The sequence below is a fragment of the Homo sapiens genome, chromosome 12 (assembly GCF_000001405.40).
Source record: "Homo sapiens chromosome 12, GRCh38.p14 Primary Assembly".
Classification (NCBI taxonomy): domain Eukaryota; kingdom Metazoa; phylum Chordata; class Mammalia; order Primates; family Hominidae; genus Homo; species Homo sapiens.
In genome coordinates, this window is record NC_000012.12 from 11,853,106 (window position 1) to 11,874,930 (window position 21,825).

Here is a 21,825-nt window from a genome sequence, read left to right on the forward strand (position 1 = left end):
GAGCCTGGGAGGTGGAGGTTGTAGTGAGCCGAGATCGTGCCTCTGCACTTCAGCACTGGCAACGGAGCGCAACCCTGTCTCAGAAAAAAAGTATACGATTTTCATAATCAAAAAAGTTTGATTTACAACTTCACATCGCTCTGACCTTTTGAGTTTCAAGTGCTGCATTCTGTGCCCCATGAGCTTGGTGAGGGTAGGAGGTGGCAGGTGCGCTCCAATTGTATCTTTGGCACCGTGCCAGGCACTTAGCTGCTGCTCCGTAGATCGTTGTTGGAAAAACATCTTTCCATTTCTCGATTTCCCTTTCCTTTTTCTTTCCAGGTGATGTGCTCTATGAACTCCTTCAGCATATTCTGAAGCAGAGGAAACCTCGGATTCTTTTTTCACCATTCTTCCACCCTGGAAACTCTATACACACACAGCCGGAGGTCATACTGCATCAGAACCATGAAGAAGGTACTGGAAGAGGTTTCTCTTTTCTTGCCTGAGGTTTAGACAAATCCAGGAAGTTTAATTGTTAACTTGATAAGCTGGTCTTCTTCGTGTAAGTTCACTTTTCATTCAGTAGACAATTATTGAGTGCTTACTATGTACAAAATACACTCTTGGTTCCCTGAAGCTCACGATCAAAGCGAAGCAGTGAGATGGATGTACACAGAAGCACAGAAGCGTAACCATATAGTAGGCACCGTAAAGGTGTGGTGGAAGGGTCCATGACAGCCAGGTGCAGGAAGCAGGGTCTTCTCATAAAGGAAGCAACTCTGGAGTATGCCTTAGAGCAGTGCTCCCCACCCTTTTTGGCACCAGGGACCAGTTTTGTGGAAGACAGTTTTTCCACCAACAGTGGAGGTGAGGGATGGTTTGGGATGATTCAAGTGCATTACATTTATTCTGCACTTCATTTCTATTATTACATTATCATACATAATGAAATAATTATACAATCCACCATAATGTCGAATCAGTGGGAGCCCTGAGCTTGTTTTCCTGCAACTAGACGTTCCCATCTGGGGGTGATGGGAGACAGTGACAGATCATCAGCCATTAGATTCCCGTAAGGAGTGTGCAACTAGATCCCGCGCATGCACAGTTCATGATAGCGTTTGTGCTTCTATGAGAATCTAATGCCGCTGCTGATCTGACAGGACGTGGGACTCAGGCGGTAATACGAGCAGTGGGGAGCAGCTCTAGATACAGATGAAGCTTCACTCACTTGCCCCCACCGCTCACCTCCTGCTGTGCAGCCCAGTTCCTAACAGGCCATGGACTGGTACCAGTCAGTGACCTGGAGGTTGGGGACCCCGCCTTAGAAATCCAGCAGGATTCTGATAAGCAAGGATGAAGTGAAGAACATTCCAGGCAAAGAAAATGACGTAAGGGTGGGGTAAGGCTTTGAAATAGAGAGCAATTAGATGACTTGGATTATAAAGCTTATCTTCTCCCACTCTTTTATTACAGAAAATTTCAAACATACTCCAAATAGAATAAAATAAATAAACCCTTCTGAGCCATCACCCTTGCCTTCACAATGATCAGCATTTTGTCATTGCAGAGCTAGTCCAAGGAGCTTAGCTTGGAACCAGAGTGTGGAGAACTTTGATTTCTGGAATATGGAGGAAAGAAATGGGAAGTCATTGGAGAGTTTTTTAGCAAGGGGTAATAAAAGTTGGAAGAAGGAAAGAAAAAAAAACCCAAATCTATGAACTCAGTGTTGGGCCAGGGCTTTCTGCATAGGGCACCAAAGGAGGCTGGTTAGAGTTCACTCAGTGGCGGTGTTTATTTCAAGTGTCCCAGTTGTTCCTCTTAATCATTGGTAGAAAGCAAAAGACCAGAATTTAATTTAGGCCCTGGACCTAGTTCCAGAATAGGTGTTGGGGCACAGAAATAGAGTATAAAAACCTTACTTGAGGCCAGGCGCGGTGGCTCACGCCTGTAATCCCAGCACTTTGAGAGGCCGAGGCGGGCGGATCACGAGGTCAGGAGATCAAGACCGTCCTGGCTAACATGGTGAAACCCCGTCTCTACTAAAAATACAAAAAAAAAAAAAAAAATTAGCCGGGCATGGTGGCAGGCGCCTGTAGTCCCAGCTACTTGGGAGGCTGAGGCAAGATAATGGAGTGAACCCGGGAGGTGGAGATTGCAGTGAGCTGAGATTGCGCCACTGCACTCCAGCCTGGGCGACAGAGCGAGACTCTGTCTCAAAAACACCAAACCAAAGCGAAAGGAAACCTTACTTGAGCACCATTGCATTAAACAGTTGAACAGCTTGAGCACTCAGTGATGGATCGTGCCTCTGAGGGTCATGATCCTCCTGCTCGGATTGGTCAGACCACAGACGTCCAAACGTGCATCAGTTTCTTCATGTGTACTTTTCCTTAGGTGCAGATTACTAGGGACCTCAAACCCTGGTCCCTTGGGGCATTTCCTTAAAATGATTGCTCATCCCCAAGAGCAGGGCTAACAATTTTGTTTTGTTGTTGGCAAACCAAAAAATGAGAAGTTTCTTGTTTTTCCTAATTAACACTTCACAAAAGAGAGCCTGACTCCAGGCGATGACACCACCTCCTTGTGCCAAGCATTTCACAGCAGGGCCCCTCGCTTCCGTGATGGAGAACGAACAGCATTTCGTGCACGCTCCCTGCCTTCCTCTCATCCTTTCCTCCCCTCACTCTACCCTTGCTAAATTTAGCAGCTGCCCTCCTCCCCCAATTCAGTTATTCATTCTTTTGCTCTTCCTGCCATGTGCATTTCCGGCTTGCATAATAGCCACCAGCCACTCCAGAGAAGAGGAGGTGGGTTTACTGAAGCTTGACATTAAGGCAAGGAATATATTACCTAGCCTGCCTTTCAGATACAAAGGGTATGTGATGGGTTTTCTTTCTGTCTCTTAGTCTTTCTCTCATTATTTTTTTTGTTAATCTCATTTGGAATTTAGCCCCATTTTATTCCTGAGTGTGATTGGAGGCTTATGGTCTCTCCTCCTCACAGATCCTTCCTCTTTTCCCTTTGGCCTGATTTGACTCAGCAGTAGGTGTGTTTGTTGTTCTCATTTGCAGGAGCTCAGCAATAGAGAAAGCTGGCTTACTCTGAGAGCTGCTCGCAAACCAAGTAAATACAGATGTGCCACCGCATACGCTGTAATGAGCTTTCTCTCAAGTATTATGATGTTGGTGGTTGTGAGCTCAGTAGGTAAGAGGATGGAGCTAATGAGGCCGAGGTCAAGGGTGTCATTGCCCTGCAGACCAGTTAGCTCTGCTTCAGACCCAGCTCTTAAAAGTAGTGCATTTTCAGAGACCATTCCTTAAAGCTCATGGCCAGGAAGCAAGGTCTGAGAGCATGTCCGGGCGCATGTGCTCCAGTGAACAGGTGCACACAACAAGGAGAGAAGTGTAGGTCTTTATCCGGTGGTATCCAGGGAGAAGAGCTTTCCAAGGCACAGAAGTGATATGAAGAGGTGGCCCTCTCCCTATCCTCCTGCCTTTCAGCTATATGGTGCCCTTGATGACAAAGAGAACAAGTAGAGAGGTGCATGGATCAGTACAAGTTTCCTGCCTCCAGCTACTTCCTCTCTCTCTCCCTTCTTCTCCACTGAAAAGAAAAAAATCCAGCTCAACATAAATTGTTTCCAGAATCAATACTGTTCCATTTAATTATGAAGGATAACAGATGATTGATGTGGGCATATGTTAACATACAGAAAGATCTGGTTCTGAAAAAAAAATCTGTCAAGTGAAATTATACATATCAAATATTACTTCCCCAGTGATTTATTTTACATAACTGGGAATACAGTTCCATATAAAAGTATGTTAACCCAAGATGACACATGTTGCTGCCAACTTGGCATAGGTAAGTAGGTAGGTGGGTAGGTAAGTAGGTGGATAGGTGGATAGGAATGACAGAATGGAAAGAGAACAAGGCCCAACTCAGCTGTTAAGCAGCCTGGCACAATGAAGCATGCACGGTCAAGTGCAAACAGAAGGCATCATTCAACCGCCTTGTGATTTCACCTCGTCGTGGCCACAAACTTAACCAGTTCAGACATTCATAATTTCACAATGGGCATTTATATCACAGTACAAATGTGTCTTGCTCAATCTAGCACCAGTTCCCCACATGTATCCTCTATGACTTTCTTACATTGAAACTTACATTGAAATCATGCCTTCGTTAGTAGCCACGTGGCAGTGCTAGAAGCTAGGAAGTTGGTGTTAGCTCAGAGGTTCACCTCCATGCCCTGACAGTAGACGAGGATGATCATCATGCTAATTCAAACTCTCTATATGTGAACATTTGTTACCTCTATAATGTACTCCATTCTGAAATCACATCATGGCTTGAGCAAAGCAGTCCTCAGATTACACTTACCTCTAGAAAAACCAGCATTTTCACTCTTTTTCCTTACTTATTAGTTATGGGAAGGGAGGGTGATTTTATATAATTAGGTTAACCTTATAATTTTTCACCCATACCAACACACTTATGACAGTGACACAGGGCTCCAGCAATAAGTAAGCCAGGACTACATATCAAATATTCAGGCAAAACCAGAACCAGAACCATCCTCGACAAACAAACTGGGGTGAGTGTGTGTGAGTATGTATGTATATTTTAAAGGATGAGATCTGGAAACCGGGAAACCAGGTCCTAACCCTTCATTCTGCCAGAACAGATCATAAGGGCTAAGTTTCTCATTCCTCTGGCTCTGTCTCCCCAGTTATAAGAAGGGGGTTAGGCTAAATGGTTTCTGCAGTCTCTTACAGCTCTCAAATCCCCACATTACGTCCAAGGAACCTGAGTCTTCCTGGGTGATATGAAGATAAGACATATTCCCTTCCCTCAGGGTCTTGAGCATCTAAAATCTAGAAAATCATAGCAGTGTCCTGCCTGGTGTTGCTCAGAAGCGGGAGAAAATCTCTTCTTTCCTCATTTGTCTCACCTTATTCAGAACTTCAGATAATGTTGCCCCTCTGAGAGTGGCAGCAAGAGTAGCGTCATTCACTTATTTCATCATAAAAAGCTCAGTTTAAGGACATTCTTTTTCCTTGACTGTTGTGACTCATTTTATCTTTGTAATATGAATTAGAATGCAGGTAGGTAGTTATGTAGAAAGGAGGTAAAATAAACAATGATATTACTTCCTTCACAAAAACCAGGAGGCAAAGCATCTTTAGAAATATCAAAGCAGTAAATGACTATAAAATAAATTTATTTTGTCACGTGCAGTTGTGATGATAACTTCTTTTCACACCTTAGGTTCTTTTATTTTGGGTTTTATCCCCTTAAATATATATATATATTTTTTTTTAATTGTCATTTGTCCTCTAGTGTTAGAACTACTGGAATATTGGCCCCCCAAAAACTCAACGGAAACATAAAATAAGCCTCCCTTCTGGGCTAAAGTCTCTGAATGAGACCAGCTCCACAGAATCACCCCATGGGACTGGATATGCAGTCTGTAGGGAGAAGGAGCAAGATCCGGATTTCTCAAACGTTCTCATCCCATCACCCCCTTGGAGCTTGATAATTTCAGCTCTTTAGTTGCATCCTGTCCTCTGCCCCATCAAAGAGATTATGGGGCAGTGATTCTTAATCACTTTAATTTGCAGATATTCACACATGCAGGGCTGAGATTGTTTCTGTAGCACTGGATGCAGTTTTAAGGTGGCAGTTCTGCTCTGGGACAGCTCTTTATCACAAGGTAAACATGGAAATCGCAAGTGATGAGGAGAACTTTCAAGCATCGAAGTGCAATTGATCTCAATTTTTCTTACAACTAGCACATGGGAATGGCTCAATAATTGAGAGAAGTCATTTCTTTGTGAAAGATGGAGAGGGTGGCATGTGTTCTGCGATGGCCCACAGAAGTTTTATTTATATGATTGCTTTATTGAGGGGAATCGTACCCCTCCTGCCCCACCACCAAACCCAAGTGCCCAAAGACTGCTTTGGCAGAAGGAAGTTGTATACAATTTTAATGAGATAATTAAAGAAGATGAGGTATATGAATCTGGTTTTTTTTTTTTTTTTTTTTTTTTTTTTTTTTTTTTTTTTGAGAAGGAGTCTTGCTCTGTCGCCCAGGCTGGAGTGCAGTGGTGCGATCTCGGTTCACTGCAAGCTCCACCTCCTGGGTTCACTCCATTCTCCTGCCTCAGCCTCCCAAGTAGCAGGGACTACAGGCATCCGCCACCATGCCCGGCTAATTTTTTGTATTTTTAGTAGAGACAGGGTTTCGCCGTGTTAGCCAGGATGGTCTCGATCTCCTGACCTCGTGATCCGCCCGCCTCGGCCTCCCAAAGTGCTGGGATTACAAGCATGAGCCACCACACCCGGCCTGAATCTGCTTCTTAATAACAAAATAATAGCTAACATTTATTGGGTCCTTGTTGTGTGCCGGCCCTGTTCTAAGCTCTTATATCTTTGAATCATTTAATCCTCACCACAACCCTATAAAGAAGGTGATATTATTACCTCCACTTTATAGATGAAGAAATAAAGATTAAGAGCAATAAAGTAACATGCCCCAAAATCAAGTAGCAACGCTGAGATTTAAACCCAGGTGGGGTTGATGCCAGTGCCTGCATTCATTCCACTGCGCAGAATGAGGAGACCAAAATACATTTTCATAAATATTTGTAGTGTAGGCGCCCTGAAAATAGAGCACATGATTGAAAGACGAGTAGCAGTAGTGGAGATGAGAACGCCAAAGCAGTTTTCAGGTCAGCTGACTGGGGCTACAGTGTGTGGCAGGTCCTGCTTACATTACTGCCAAATTTGTACTAAACAATGTCAAAGATGACTTCTGGGACTCCAAAGTATGTCTAGTTCATAATATTAAAAACTCATGCTGAGTTGGACCGAATTCACCCTTCTAGATCATTAACTCCCTTGGGATGGGCCGTCTTAGCATCACGAAAATCTCCCAGCCTGTGAGAACTGTGGGTTCTGAGCCAGGCACCGGCTTCTGAGAGCAGACACACTGGCTGTCACCTACCCCCTGAGGAGCCAGCCCCTCAGTGCAGGTCACGCCTTGAAAGCTGGCCCCTCTCTACAGCGGCTTAGTAGGTAACAGGTAGACGCATTCTTTAGCTGCTCAAGTCACATCCTGTCACTGGTTGTAAACCCACTCGATTCTCTAGTCTTGCTGGAATCGTGTTGATGACTGCAGGGTCAAGGAGGCTGTGGGCTGGGGTTTGACATCTTTGTTACACATATTAACCACGGAATACATGACAGAGCCAGAGAGCATGCCGGCACGTATATGCGTGCACTCTACATCCCCCGACTACCTGGGTTCTAATCCCAGCTCCCCAGTTTACCGGCTGTGTGACTTCAGGCAACTGCCTTGGGTCTCAGGTCTCTACCTGTAAAAGAAGGAAAATGACAGGACCTATCTCAAAGGGTTGACATAAGAAAGAAATGAGTCTCCAGCCTGGGCGACAGAGTGAGACTCTGTCTCAAAAAAAAAAACAAAACAAAAGAAGAAAGAAATGAGTTAATACGGAAAATGCCCTTAGAATAGCCAAGCATTCGGTAAATGTTATTCATTATCATGATTCAATATTTCTGGCTGTTATTTGGTTGTTTCCCCCCCTCTGTTTGTGTAAATTTTTAATTGGGATAAAATACACAACATTTACAATTTTAACCATTTTTAGGTGTACTTCAGTAGTGGTAAGTCTATTCACAATGTTGTGCAGTTGGTTTTTCCTTCCACTTTTCTTAACCATTCTCAATATCGCAACTACATCCACTTTGTGCAAACATCAGGTTTGTGCACCTTATACGTAGGGAAGGGCCATTGCCTCCCTCACTGTTATCCAAGAACACCTTTGAGGATTCATCTGCACTATGATTTCTGTGGGAAAATACATTTAAAGTGCCAGTCTTCATTACTCTCAGAACACGGCCTGTTTGGAAGTAAGCACTGCTTGCATTTTATGTCCCCTTGCAGTATCTGGCGAGCGCTGGGTCCTCCATGACCCCTTTGGAACCTTTGTATTAATCTTCTGGCTGTCTCCTTTAAGAACTACAAGATTAACCTTTTTGCAGCCCTTTCTGTTCTGGGATTCTTGAATCTGGCAGCAGGTAACGACAGGTCCCATCAGAAACAGGTCAAGATCTTGACTTCCTGCCCTCCCTGGGAGCAGGGCCCACGAGCACCACTTAACACCTTTTTCCCCTGACCCAGCCTCATTCCAGCCTTCTGCAAGTCCTGCTTTCCTCTCCAGGACCTTTGTTCCTGCTTTGCTTCCTATATTTCAGGGCCTAGGGCAGCATGACCTTTTACCTTCTGACCCTTGCCCCTGCTGCAGCATGTGTTTTGTGACGGAGTGTAGGGACTGGATTGTGCAGAGACCCTCTTTGCATCTGTCTGGGCCCTCGGCCTATTACAGGAGGGACCCCTCACCCTTCCTGCCTGCACCAGGGTCCTCCAACTGGAGGCTGCTTTTAGCCCTAGGGCTAGCGTGCTCTCTTAAGCCAGAAGTTTTAGGGGCAAGAGATCCCTAATATGCATGAATGACTCTCACAAGACAGGCAGGAAGTCTCCAAGAGACTTCCTTTACCCCTAGGGAAATGCCATCTGATCTTTGAGATAAGGGGCTGGGAGCAGTTTGATTTCATCTCCAGAGAAGGAAGCCCTCAGTTAAGGGGTCATCTTGCTCTTTTCCCCACTCCAGGGCCTCTCTGCCTTATCTCTGTGCCACCTGTGACCCCAGGCCTTATACATGATTGAGAGGATTACCCAAACAGACCTAATTGACTTATTGGAAATCCAATCCTTTGATTTTTTAATTCACTTCTTTTGTGCTGCTTTATGGAGACAAAGGAGACTCCCCTATACTGCCTGTGAAGAGCAAGACAGTCTGCAGCCCCGACTGTGAGGACTGTGAGGCCTCCTGTGTCAGCAGATGTGCATGTACTCTCTGTACTGATCCCCTGGAAAGGTGGCCTGTTTGAAAGCAGTCCTGCCCAGGCCTGCAGTAATGAAGATTAAGCCTCAGAGTACTACAGGTTACCCATTTTGTTTTGTTTAGCCCCTTTCATCAAATGCTTATAAAATTCTAGGAGCTTACCTAGGGTTTATTGTTGATAACCTCAAACATATGTGAATCATCCACTCCAAACTAGGGCAGTTTTCTTCTCAGGCCCTCCAAGGGAGTTCGGTGACATTGGCACATTGTGGGGATGAATAGGCTGAAATGCCAGGTACACAGTTAGTGGAAAGACTCCAAACCAAGCAAAGGTTGAACGTCAGGTAACTGGAGTAGGGGGTGTATTAGTTAGCTAGGGCCGCTGTAACAAAGTACCCCAAACGGGGTGGCTTAAACAACAGATATTTATTATCTCACTTTTCTGGGGGCTAGAAGTCCAAGGTCAACGTGTGCCAGAGTTGGTTCCTTCTGAGAGAGCTGTGAGGTAGGATCTGTTCCATGACTCTCTTCTCGTTTCTGGTGGTTTGCTGGCAAGCTTTGGCATTCCTTGCCTTGGAGGTCTCTGCCTTCATCTTCACCTGCATTCTTCCCCTGTGTATGTCTGGAAGTCCAGAGTATACTTTTTATAAAGACACCAGTCATATTGGATGTTTAAAATGACCTCATCCTAACTAATTACATCTGCAAGGACCGTCTTTCCAAATAAGATCACATCCTGAGGGTACTAGGGGTTAGGACTTCAACTTATGAATTTTGGGGGAGAGATAGTCAACCCATAATGGGCATAAGAGACCGGGAGTGGTATATGAAATATAGTTTGAATTCCACCTCAAGACCTTGAGCTTATGACTTCTGTCTAGCTCTGTGTATCATTCATACTTCCCACTAATTTTTAACAAAATGACTGGGAGAGGGAGAAAGTGAAACCCAGTGGACTGAGGCTTGAGTGAGCATTACCTCCTGGGCCTGTTGATTTGCGTCTCCCTGGTGACCTTCTTCTCTGACCAGCATCCGTGGGCTTAGGGAAAGCACGGTGGTGGAAATGTGATCCTGGTGTGTGAGATGCAAACTTGATCTTAGCCTTTGCTCTCCCTGGAAACTTATCGGTCAAAACTTTCACTAAAGGCAGTTTTTTGTCTGTTTGTTTAGGTTTACTGGTTATTTATTATTTATAGCATGGTTAAATTGGGTCAAATTTTTATGAATTGTAAGTAGAGAAACTTTTCTAATAAGAGGAAAGGATAAGAAATCAGACCTTTTTGTAAAGAAAATTACCCCACTTAAAGTCCTGGTTTATTTTAGGCCGTTTGGCAGTGAGAAGAAGGGATTATTTGTGTCTGACAGAGGTCTACAAGGAAAAAGGTTTGGGATCAGAAAACACTTCCAACCAGAATGACGGTTCCCTGCCAGTCCTTGGTCTTTCTTCCTCCCTTCCTTCTGTGCCCACATGGACTAATTATGTCTGGCTTTCCCTCCCTCTTCCTTGTATATTTCCCTTCCATATCAAGACCTTCAGAATGAGGGCAATGTGGATAATTTCCCAGTTTTCCAGCTGGGCAGCTCACCAAGAACAAACCCAGACATCAAGGCCAGACCAAAAAAATCTTCTTGTTTTAGACAGAAGACTCCTACATCTGGGGGATTTAATGCACCCACTGTCCGCTCAGTGCATTTCCTGTGTCCGGAGCTTCTCTGCCTGCCGGCTCTGGTCTCGTAAGTTTCCATGCCCTGCTGCCAACTTATAATAACAGAGGCGGCAGGCAGCAGGCTGAGAATGTCATAGCCTACTCCATACATGGGCACTGCTTTGCAGACTGAAACAAAGCTTGCAGGGTCTCATTGCAGGCCTCTCAGCCTTGACAGTGGTTGTGCCCAGACCACCAGGAGCCTGGAATTAAATACCCTCGGATCCAGTTCTCTACTGTTAATGTTATCAGCTTCATCAAGTACTTCCTCTTTGAGTGATATCTGTGGAGAAATAAATAAATCAAGCTCCTCCAAGTCCTGTTCCTGCCTGGATCCTGAGTCCAAAGTAAAATCTGAGTTGGATTATCCAAAGCACTATCACCCTCCTGCATTGTTCCCAAGGTCTGGGCAGGAACGGAGAGTGAAATCTCTCCAGGACATTACATCAGTTCCTCCTTTACCCTTGGCATGAAAGTTCTTCCTCTCCTGGTCCTCCCAGACTTCCTAAGGCCTGCCCTGAGTGCACACCCACACACTAAGCCTTGAAGCCCAGGACATCAAAGAAAGCCTGCAGGTAACCAGATTACTGACCAACGCCTGTGACCGTTTTGAAATTTATAAGATGGGAAATGGATTCAGGAAATGGGATTTTTCAATACATGGTCTTCATCATCCTTAAGTATTTTTAAGCCTTAATAAGCTTTTAAGTAAAGAGAGACATTCTGTAAATGGCATTTAGAAGAAAATATAGGAAAGTTCAAACTGGAACTGTCTTCAATAGTTGTTTACAGTGATCATATTCTGTGACAAATGAAAAGTGGACCAGGGACAAAAGATAAATACATTTCTATGGGCAGCAGAATTGACATCCATATTATCTATAAAAGGAAAGTTTGCCTTGTCTACAAAAGATTACAGATCATTTTAGTTGGTGCCCAGTAAGCATTTCTATGCATTTGGGTTAAAGTGAGGAAGTTAGTGCTTGTCTTTCCAACCTATATCCTTGCAAGGTTAATTAAGCACTTTAAAAAAAAAAAAGCTTTTTATAACAGGAAATATCAAACCTATACAAAAGTAAAGAGAATTGTGTAATGAATCACCATGTACCCATCACCAGTTTTGATGATCAACTCAAGGCCAATCATGTCTTCCTCTGTGGTCTACCTCCTCTCTCCTTCACCATCCCAGATTATTTTACAGCAAATCTCAGATATATAATTTCCCTTGTAAATAGTATCAACAGGCTGGGCGCGGTGGCTCATGCCTGTAATCCCAGCACTTTGGGAGGCTGAGGTGGGCGGATCATGAGGTCAGGAGATCGAGACCATCCTGGCTAACATGGTGAAACCCTGTCTTTACTAAAACTACAAAAAATTAGCCAGGCATGGTGGCGGGCACCTGTAGTCCCAGCTACTCAGGAGGCTGAGGCAGGAGAATGGCGTGAACCCGGGAGGTGGAGCTTGCAGTGAGCAGAGATCACGCCACTGCACTCCAGCCTGGGTGAAAGAGCGAGACTCCGTCTCAAAAAAAAAAAAAAAAAAATAGTGTCAACATAGGTCTCAAAAAAAGACTATAAAATCATAATAGAACCATCATATCACTTGAAAACTAGTAGTTCCTCGGTATCATCAAATAATCTGCTAGTGTTCACTTTTTGCCAACCATCTCATAAATGTTTTTTACAGTTTGGATCAGAATCCAAACAACATCTATACATTGCAGATGGTTAACGTATCTCTTAAGTTTTTTTCAACCTATAGGTTCCCATCTGCAACCTTCTTGTGTGTGTGTTTGAGCAGTCCCTCTCTTCAGGTTTTTTTAAAGAAGTCAGCCATAATTAGTATATTCGTATATATAATATATTATATATATTAGCGTAGGCTTATATATACTATGTAAGTATATACTTATATAGTATTAGTATATACTATATATCATATATACTATAATCATATATAGTATATATGGTGTGTGTGTATATATATACTATATATCATACTATGCATATATAGTATATTAGTATAATCTCCCCCTGTACATAGTTTCTTTTTTTCCTCTGGTTGCTTTCAAGATTTTCTCTTTATTTTTGGTTTTCAGCAGTTTGACTATGGTGTACCTGGGTGTGGTTTTTATTTTACATATCTTACTTGAGATTCTTGGACCTTCGAATTTACTGTTGTTGATAATGTTGTTACCAAATTTGAGGACAATCTAGCCATTATTTTTTAATTTATTCTACTCTGTTTTTTTCTATATTCTCCTTCTTGGACACCAATTACATGTGTGTTAGACCACGTGATATTGTTCCACAGGTCACTGAGGATTTGTTTTGTTTGGATTTCATTTTTACTGATCTGTCTTCAAATTTTCTAACCCTTTCTTCTCTCATCTCCGTTCTGCTATTAAGTCCATCTAGTCCGGTCTTTCATTTCAGATATTATACTTTTCAGTTATAGAATCTTTATTTTGCCTTTTTTTTTAATTCCATTTCCCTTTTGGCAGCCTGTATGTGTCATCATTTATTACAACCATGATTTTCTTTTAGGGCTTGAACTTATTTATAATAGCTGCTGTAAAGTTTTTCTGTTTGTTTGTGTTAACTCCAACATCTGCATTATCTCAGGTTCTGTTTCTTTTGATGGCCTTTCCTCCTTATTATGAGTCACATGTTTGTATTTCTTCTCATATCTAGAAAATTGTGACTGGATGCTGAGCACATTGAGACACTGGATTGTGTTCTATTCCACTGAAGAGTATTGACTTTTGTTCTAGGAGGCAATCAAATTACTGGCCAGTTACTTTGAATCTGTAGAGGCATGGTCTTACGTTTCATTAGGTCCAATCTGTTTCTATTTTGCCTTTTGCCCTTAGCAGATCCCCTTGTCCTAGGGTTTTTACTCCTACATTGTGGCCATTCTGGGGTAACAAACAGCCTGAAGTGTTTACAGAGCCTTTGAACTTGATGAGACTCAAACTCTGAACTCTGTCTCCACTGCAGTAGCCAGTAGCTGAGGTTTCCGCTTAGATCTTTTGATTATACAACTGTTGCTTTTCACTGAACTCCAAAGGGTCTCCCTGGCACTTGGGCTATTCGGTAATCAGACAAGAATTTGAGGAAGCTTTTACATGCCAATTTAATCACTCTCCCCTCTGTGGCTCCCACTGTATGGGATTTGTTTCTTCAATTTTCTGCCATTCTGGCAGCTACCTACTCTATCTCAAGCAACTTTCTGTTTATCTTCTAACTGCCCCTGTGCTGCACGGACTGGGGAGGAACATGCAGCATAGGGCAGTTAGGAGATCAACAGAATCAGGGGGAAAGCTGTTTAAATATGGACCTCACTCTGTGCAGTTCCCTTCTTTCAAGAGTGAAATCCTCTCCGGTTTTTGTCTGCCCTTGATACCTTCAAATAGTTTTTTCAATGTATTTAATATGGTTTCTTTCATTTCTACCCGTAAGAAGGTTAGTTTGGTACACGCCACTCTGCTATTGTTGAACTGAAATTGCCCCTTTCCTTGTTTAGATAAGTGGTGGCAGATCATAAATACTTCATCTTGCTTTTCGTATCTAACCATAGATTCTGATGCTAGTCCTTAGCAAAATATCAAGATACTCCTCATTCCTTTTTACTTTTACGTAGTACTCCATTTTTTAGAGATATATACTATAATTTATTAAATCAGTCTTCTATTGATAGCTATTCCAATGATGAGGCACTTGAATTTATGGCAGTGGGTTATACAGTAGTCACAAAATAAGCCCTTTGCCTTCAAGGAGATGATCTTTTAATATTGTGAACAATATTTTTGTTCAGTGATCATATGATAGATGAGATCTAGTAGAACTTTCAAAAAAGAAAAAAGTCCGCATTTTCTTCTTAACCCTGTGTAAAACTTAAAACCACTATGTCTGTCTCTGTTTACTGACCCTATCAAATTACGGAATTCACTTTATGTGTTCTTCATATATGTATATTATCTTAATGGACAAAGGTGATATGTTTGACTTGCTTTACTTAGAACTGTGGACAATTCTTTGACCAGAACAAGGACAGCAAGCATGCACATCCTTTTGGTGAGACTGCCCTGGGAACAGATGTGGCCAGAGAGAGTTCATTGAGTTGGGTGTGGAGCCGTGTAGAAATCCCCATTTTTATGGGCAGATTTCTGTCCTTCTGCACCTTAGCAGGGACTTCTGGAGCCAGGTGTGTGCCGGTCCATTCCCCGACCCAGCCCTCAGAGCTACTTCTCTTGCTGAGCTGTGTACACTTCTGATGTTATCCTCGCTCACATGTCACCAGCTTGCAACTTTGAGTGGGATGAGTTAGAGGTGTCCATCCATCCTGCTTCTTCCTTACTTCTGCCTGTCTCTGAGCACTCAGGAGCAAAGTGCTCCCAAAAGTTCTTTCAAGTTCAGTAAGATTGTCATTCTGTAAATTGGGGCCACTGTGCATGCTTAGAGCAGGTTTTGGTGTGACTTTGTGTCATAGTTTCTATATTGCAGTGACAGATGTTGTCATGAGTACACAGGTTCTAGAATCTGACTGGAGTCTGGTTCTATAATCTCCTAACTGGCTGTGTGACCTTGGGTAAGTTATTTAACTTCTTTACGCCTCAGTTTTATCATCTGTAAAATAGGGGTACTAGTGGTATCTCTTGGTTAGGAGTGTCATGAGTGTCATAAGGTTGGGGGTTTTTTTCTTTTTTCTTCTTTTTTTTTTTTTTTTTGAGACAAAGTTTTGCTCTGTCACCCAGGCTGGAGTGCAATGGTGTGATCTTGGCTCGCTGCAACCTCCACCTCCTGGGTTCAAGCGATTCTCATGTCTCAGCCTCCCGAGTAACTGGGATTACAGGCGGGAGCCACCGCACCCAGCCAGGAGTGCTATAAGTTTTAAACAGTGAAATCCAGCATCTAAGATATAGTTATTACTAATAATTATTACTAATATTATTAACATTATCACTAATACTAATAACTCCTAGAGTTAGAGAATATGAAAATTTTAGTTGTGAAAATGTAAGTCAATGAAAGCATCTAGAGAGAAACCTGTAAGAACCCTTCCACCTCTGAAAGCGACGTAGAAGAGTTAAATGATGGCCAAAAGATGGGGCATGGAAGTTTGGCTTCCTTGTGCCTACAGGCCACAGGTAGGTCATTAACGGAATGCTTGTAGACATCCTTAGGTTGTCTGGCAATAGAAAAATAGTTTCAATATGCACACCTTAAGGCCAGGCGCGGTGGCTCACGCCTGTAATCCCAGCACTTTGGGAGGCTGAGGCAGGCAGAGCACGAGGTCAGGAGACCCAGACCATCCTGGCTAACACGGTGAAACCCCATCTCTACTAAAAATAAAAAAAATTAGCCGAGCATGGTGGTGGGCGCCTGTAGTCCCAGCTACTCGGGAGGCTGAGGCCGGAGAATGGCATGAACCCGGGAGGCAGAGCTTGCAGTGAGCCGAGATCGTGCCACTGCACTCCAGCCTGGGCAACAGAGTGAGACTCCATCTCAAACAGAAAAAAAAAAAAAATATGCACCCTTCAAATTGTTAAGCAGTGAAAAAGACACTGCATTCTGGGGAGAAAGGTCCTTTACACATACCTACACGCTCCTCCATTTACCGCCTGTAGAGCCGCAGGGAGTTTCCTGTCCTGCCAACTCACTGGGGTCTGTGATTGTCTTTCCCTCTGCTCCACAGATAACTGTGTCCAGAGGACCCCCAGGCCATCCGTGGATAATGTGCACCATAACCCTCCCACCATTGAACTGTTGCACCGCTCCAGGTCACCTATCACGACAAATCACCGGCCTTCTCCTGACCCCGAGCAGCGGCCCCTCCGGTCCCCCCTGGACAACATGATCCGCCGCCTCTCCCCGGCTGAGAGAGCTCAGGGACCCAGGCCGCACCAGGAGAACAACCACCAGGAGTCCTACCCTCTGTCAGTGTCTCCCATGGAGAATAATCACTGCCCAGCGTCCTCCGAGTCCCACCCGAAGCCATCCAGCCCCCGGCAGGAGAGCACACGCGTGATCCAGCTGATGCCCAGCCCCATCATGCACCCTCTGATCCTGAACCCCCGGCACTCCGTGGATTTCAAACAGTCCAGGCTCTCCGAGGACGGGCTGCATAGGGAAGGGAAGCCCATCAACCTCTCTCATCGGGAAGACCTGGCTTACATGAACCACATCATGGTCTCTGTCTCCCCGCCTGAAGAGCACGCCATGCCCATTGGGAGAATAGCAGGTGAGTGAGTTCCCCTCTCGCCGCTCCAGCATCATGGGGACCTGACAAAGTCCCACTCTCCCCTGTGATCTTTGCAGCCAGCCTCGCACCATTCCCAATTAGGCGCCCTCCAAGGCTCTCTGAGGGCAATTGGAGGCTTCTGCTTGGATGAGGCTAAATCCCTAATGGCTTGGTTAATGAGCCGCTGGGATGGAGTAGTTAATGAGCCTCAGAAATGTTAAGAAACAAATGTCCTACGTCCAGCTTACAAGGAGAGTCACATCAGAATCAAGGCTAAGCGAAAACATTTAAAATAAAAGGTTTATGAGCATGCTAATGGCCCTGTCCTGAAGTTTCCAGCAGCTAATTAATGACCAGACACAGCATAAAGAAGCTTTGTCTCAGATTCAGGCCTGTAATTCCATCCTGTGAGCGGTAACGCCATGCAGCCTTCACCTTAGGAGCGGGTAGGAGAGGAAAACAGGATTATGGTATTGGAGGCAGGTGTTGCTGGGCCATTTGGACAGAGGAAACCACTCCCAGATTCTCTTTCATTTATTATAAGAAGCCCAAATTTGCTTACTTAAGGGAAGAAACCAGTGGAAACCAGTGGGAAAAATATCTACACATTGTCTGTTTCCTAGGATGCTCATAATTTACATGAACTCATTCTTCAGAAGCTTAATCCTCTAACCATGTGACAAGGTTAGCTCTTTTCGTAGAGCATTTCTCCATTAGATATTTGTTGAGCACCTGCTGTGTACAAATAAATGCATTAGGAGTAGGGATACAGAGCTAGTTTAACATGCAATATCTTTTTCCCCAAGGAATTTAGAATATAGTGGGAGAGACAAAGGTGAAAACCACTAAGATATAAGGCAGAATGAAGTCAGCCCCATTTCCCATTCATTTTATGTACCAGCATTCATTGAGCACCTACTGTCTGCCAGAGTAATAAAGCGCTGTAGAAGCAAAGCAGAAGGAAGGTGTGTTTTGACTGGAGGGACCAAGCAAGGCTTTGCAGGGGAGAGAGCCTGATACTGAAGTGACTGTGCTTTCGATAGTGGGAAGGAGGCCTGGAGGCAGGAGAGAACGGACCTGTTCAGGGAAGGGTGAGAAATGCCCCCTCCTCCCTGAGCCCATGACCCGGTGAGAGCTCTAGCTGACCATCAAGGTGCTGCCATGCTGATGGCAGTGGAAGAACAGGCTCCTACAAGCCTACTTTACTTCTGCCTTGAGGTACTGTCCCTTTTTTTTTTTTTTTTTTCCACACTCTGTTGCCCAGGCTGGAGTGCAGTGACGGAATCTCGGCTCACTGCAAGCTCCGCCTCCCGGGTTCACGTCATTCTCCTGCCTCAGCCTCCTGAGTAGCTGCGACTACAGGCGCCCGCCACCATGCCCGGCTAATTTTTTTCATATTTTTAGTAGAGACGGGGTTTCACCATGTTAGCCAGGATGGTCTTGATCTCCTGACCTCGCGATCCGCCTGCGTCGGCCTCCTAAAGTGCTAGGATTACAGGCGTGAGCCACCGCGCCTGGCCGGTACTGTCCCTTTTTTATTTAAATCATGTATTTCTAGATTTTTCTCTGGCCCCAAGTGCACCACCAGTGTTGTCTCAGTTTCACTGTTATAAATCATTTACATCAGGGATGTTGAATCCAGAAAATAAAATGGCAAACAAAAATGACTTATATGTTTTAAAAACTATGAAAAAGGAAATGATATATGTTTGGGATTCCATTCAAAACGATCCTGCAGAGTTAGGGGGTGAGATGTGGGTGGGGCCTACATAAAACAAGGCTAGCCATCACCAGCTAGTGGCTATATGTCTGGGTGATAGATGCATGGGGGTTAATATTATTGATCTCTCTGCTTTTACCTGTACATTAGATTGTTTTAATCAGAAAATGAAAAAATAAAACTGGGGAAAAAAAGAATAGTAGATAAAGAAGCAAAGAGCTTGGGCAAAACATGTGAATTTCCCCAAATAATTGGAGAAGGAGGATGAGGTCAGTGTATTGCTGTGAATTCTATAAATGACCCATCTCGTGCTTTCCAGGCAATACCCTTCTTGTCTGTATACCCTCTCGTCTTGTTTCTTGCATGGTGTGTGCAGCAGTACTTGACATTTTGCAGATACCTTTTGCTTGTTTATAATTCTCAGGACCGCTCTTTAAGGTAGCTCATGACTGCAGTATTCATCTTATGTGGAAGGGTCATTTGTACAGGGGAAACCACAGAGGAAACTGAGCCCCAGAGAGGCAAAGGCCTTTGCCAAGGTCAGATAGGGGCCCCATGACCGAGGTGTGCAGGACAACCCTTGCTGCCCGTGGCTGCTGTCCATAGTGCTGCCCTCGTGGGCCTGGCTTGCTTCCCAAGATCTCTCCTGTCTACCTCCCAGGTGACACTGCCTTCACCACTTCTTGGGAATCTACCATAAGCCCATGAATCAAGAAAGACACATGGTTTAGACTTGAGGAGTTATTTTTCCCTTATTTAGTAGGTTTGTAAATTTCAAAATATTAGTCTCTTAAAATTATATTACTTTTTTTTTTTTTTTTTTTTTGAGACAGAGTCTCTGTCACCCAGGCTGGAGTTCAGTGATGCAATCTCGGCTCATTGCAACCTCTGCGTCCTAGGTTCAAGTGATTCTCGTGCCTCAGCCTCCTGAGTAGCAGGGATTACAGGCACACGCCACCATGCCTGGCGAATTTTTTTGTATTTTTAGTAAAGACGGGGTTTCACCGTGTTGGCCAGGCTGGTCTTGAACTCCTGACCTCAAGTGATCTGCCTGCCTTGGCCTCCTAAATTGCTGGGATTACAGGCATGAACCACTGCACCCAGCCTATACTACTATTTTTTTCATCTCATTCCCCAATATCAGTGTTTGATGATGGATGCGGCCTCATCGGTTAGGAAGCTTGGTGGAATACTGCACCCACCAAATGATGAGCCTGGGTGTCTATGGGTGCCCGCTCTCTCAAGGGCACACAGAAATAGGCAATATGTGCTTTTCTTGATGGCTCTAGGAAGTCAAGAATATTCATGTAAAATAACCCTGGGGCCTAGATCTTTTGGGGGAATGCGTTAACTCCTTCAGTATAACACAATGTCCTAAAACTAATTACCAGTGCTATAATGGCATATTCAAAAGTTTTTAAATCTCCCAATATATATTTTAACTAATGCAACCAAATCCAAATTTAACTCATTCCACTGAAAGGCATTGTTTTTCTCCGAAGAAGGTAGGACTGAATCATCCCTAAAGTTCCTTCCAGCTCTGCCAGTCTGTAGTCTGACAGTCTTGATTCTGTAACCCTCCCAAGAAAACACAAGAGTTTTAAGCACCTTTGTTTCTTTGAGGATACCCCTGTGTGTACTCCACTCTTCTGATGTCTTTCTGGACTCCTCGATCCTTGTAAAATTGATTCTGTTTATTGGAGGTGAAATTCATTGGGTGATTCCTGTGTACAACGTAAAAGTTCTGTCATTAACTGAATAGCCATAAAAAGCCTTTAAATCTCCGTAAAGCAGCTGTTAGATGAGAAAACTTAGTTCCTTAAAGCTTTTCAAATGAGCACAGCACAAAAAGAAATGAAGGTGCTGCTGAATGTCAAACTGATGAGTACTATAGCTGGAGGGTATAGATGGAAATAGTACTCATGAATGTGGATCACAAAATGAAGCTAAATTCTTACTATTCAGATATGATTTGTTCAGGTGCCCTAGAATTTATGCATTTGGACACCTTCTGTGTATAAGGCACTGTTCTGCATTCTTGATGGGGTGGGGACAGCCTCAGAGAGGTATAAGACACAGTCTTTATCATGAAAGAGCTGAGCACAGTTAACTATAAAAGCGAAGCACATGACATGTATCTTAGAAGGGCTCCTGTTAAGTACCACAGGAGGTCAGAGTAGGGATGTCAGGGCAAGCTACATGGAGGGCTGGCTTTTAGCTGGGCTTGGATGAATGCTTAGAATGTGGACAAGTGGAGATTAGAGAAAAACAGGTCATTCCAGATGGAGAAAACTTACCAGGAGCAAAGCAAGATAAGGCTCGGTGTATTTTTTCTATTTCAGGTAGAAATGTAAATCTACAAGTTGAGATCTATTGAGGTCATTTAAAAATCTATCATTTTTCAGGCTGGGTACTGTGGCTCACGCCTGTAATCCCAGTACTTTGGAAGGCCAAGGCTGGCAGATCACCTGAGGTCAGGATTTCGAGACCAGCCTGGCCAACATGGTGAAACCCCATCTCTATCAAAAAATACAAAAATTCGTCGGGCATGGTGGTGCACACCTGTAGTCCCAGCTACCGAGGAGGCTGAGGTGGGAGAATCGCTTGAACCTGGAAGGTGGAGGTTGTAATGAGCCAAGATTATGCCACTGCACTCCAGCCTGGGCAACAGAGTGATACTCTGTCTCAAAAAAAAAAAAAATGTGTGTGTATATATATATGTGTGTATATATATACACACACATATATGTATATATATATGCGTATGTATATATACACACACACGTGTATGTGCGTGTGTACACACATATGTGTATGTGCGTGTGTACACACATATATGTGTATGTGCGTGTGTACACACATATATGTGTATGTGCGTGTGTACACATATATGTGTGTATACACATATATGTGTATGTGCGTGTGTACACACATATGTGTATGTGTGTGTGTATATACACATATGTGTGTATATGTATATATGTGTGTATATATGTATATGTGTGTATATATGTATATATGTATATGTGTATATATATGTGTATATATATATGAAATTTTTCATAAATTCTTTTCATTATCTATTATCACTGAAATTCCATCATACCATTAAGATACATGCAGAATTGTTCTCACTCATAGGTGGGAATTGAACAATGAGAACACATGGACACAGGAAGGGGAACATCACACACCGGGTCCTGTTATGGGGTCGGGGGAGGGGGGAGGGATAGCATTAGGA

At 43.7% G+C, this 21,825-nt stretch overlaps 1 protein-coding gene across 12 annotated transcripts in view, besides 2 other annotated features; it reads left to right on the forward strand.

The window, feature by feature from the left end:
• ETV6 (ETS variant transcription factor 6) overlaps positions 1-21,825 on the forward strand; it is a 245,704-nt gene that overhangs the window by 203,432 nt on the left and 20,447 nt on the right. For 10 of the 12 annotated variants that reach the window (XM_047428502.1, NM_001413914.1, NM_001987.5 and 7 more), the window contains 2 exons: positions 322-456; positions 16,319-16,864. In XM_047428502.1, the coding sequence (XP_047284458.1) occupies positions 322-456; positions 16,319-16,864 (681 nt within the window). Of the gene's footprint in view, positions 1-321; positions 457-16,318; positions 18,529-21,825 lie in introns of those variants that run through there. The other 2 variants (NM_001413916.1, XM_017018990.2) reach the window with 2 other exon arrangements.
• Positions 2,056-2,632: an enhancer, noted in NCBI's record as "NANOG-H3K27ac-H3K4me1 hESC enhancer chr12:12008095-12008671 (GRCh37/hg19 assembly coordinates)". NCBI's record gives its function as "activates a minimal SCP1, AML or CMV promoter by ChIP-STARR-seq in primed H9 embryonic stem cells {active_cell/tissue: H9 hESC(primed)}" and the evidence as "EXISTENCE:reporter gene assay evidence [ECO:0000049][PMID:30033119]".
• Positions 16,602-17,102: an enhancer, noted in NCBI's record as "H3K4me1 hESC enhancer chr12:12022641-12023141 (GRCh37/hg19 assembly coordinates)". NCBI's record gives its function as "activates a minimal SCP1, AML or CMV promoter by ChIP-STARR-seq in primed H9 embryonic stem cells {active_cell/tissue: H9 hESC(primed)}" and the evidence as "EXISTENCE:reporter gene assay evidence [ECO:0000049][PMID:30033119]".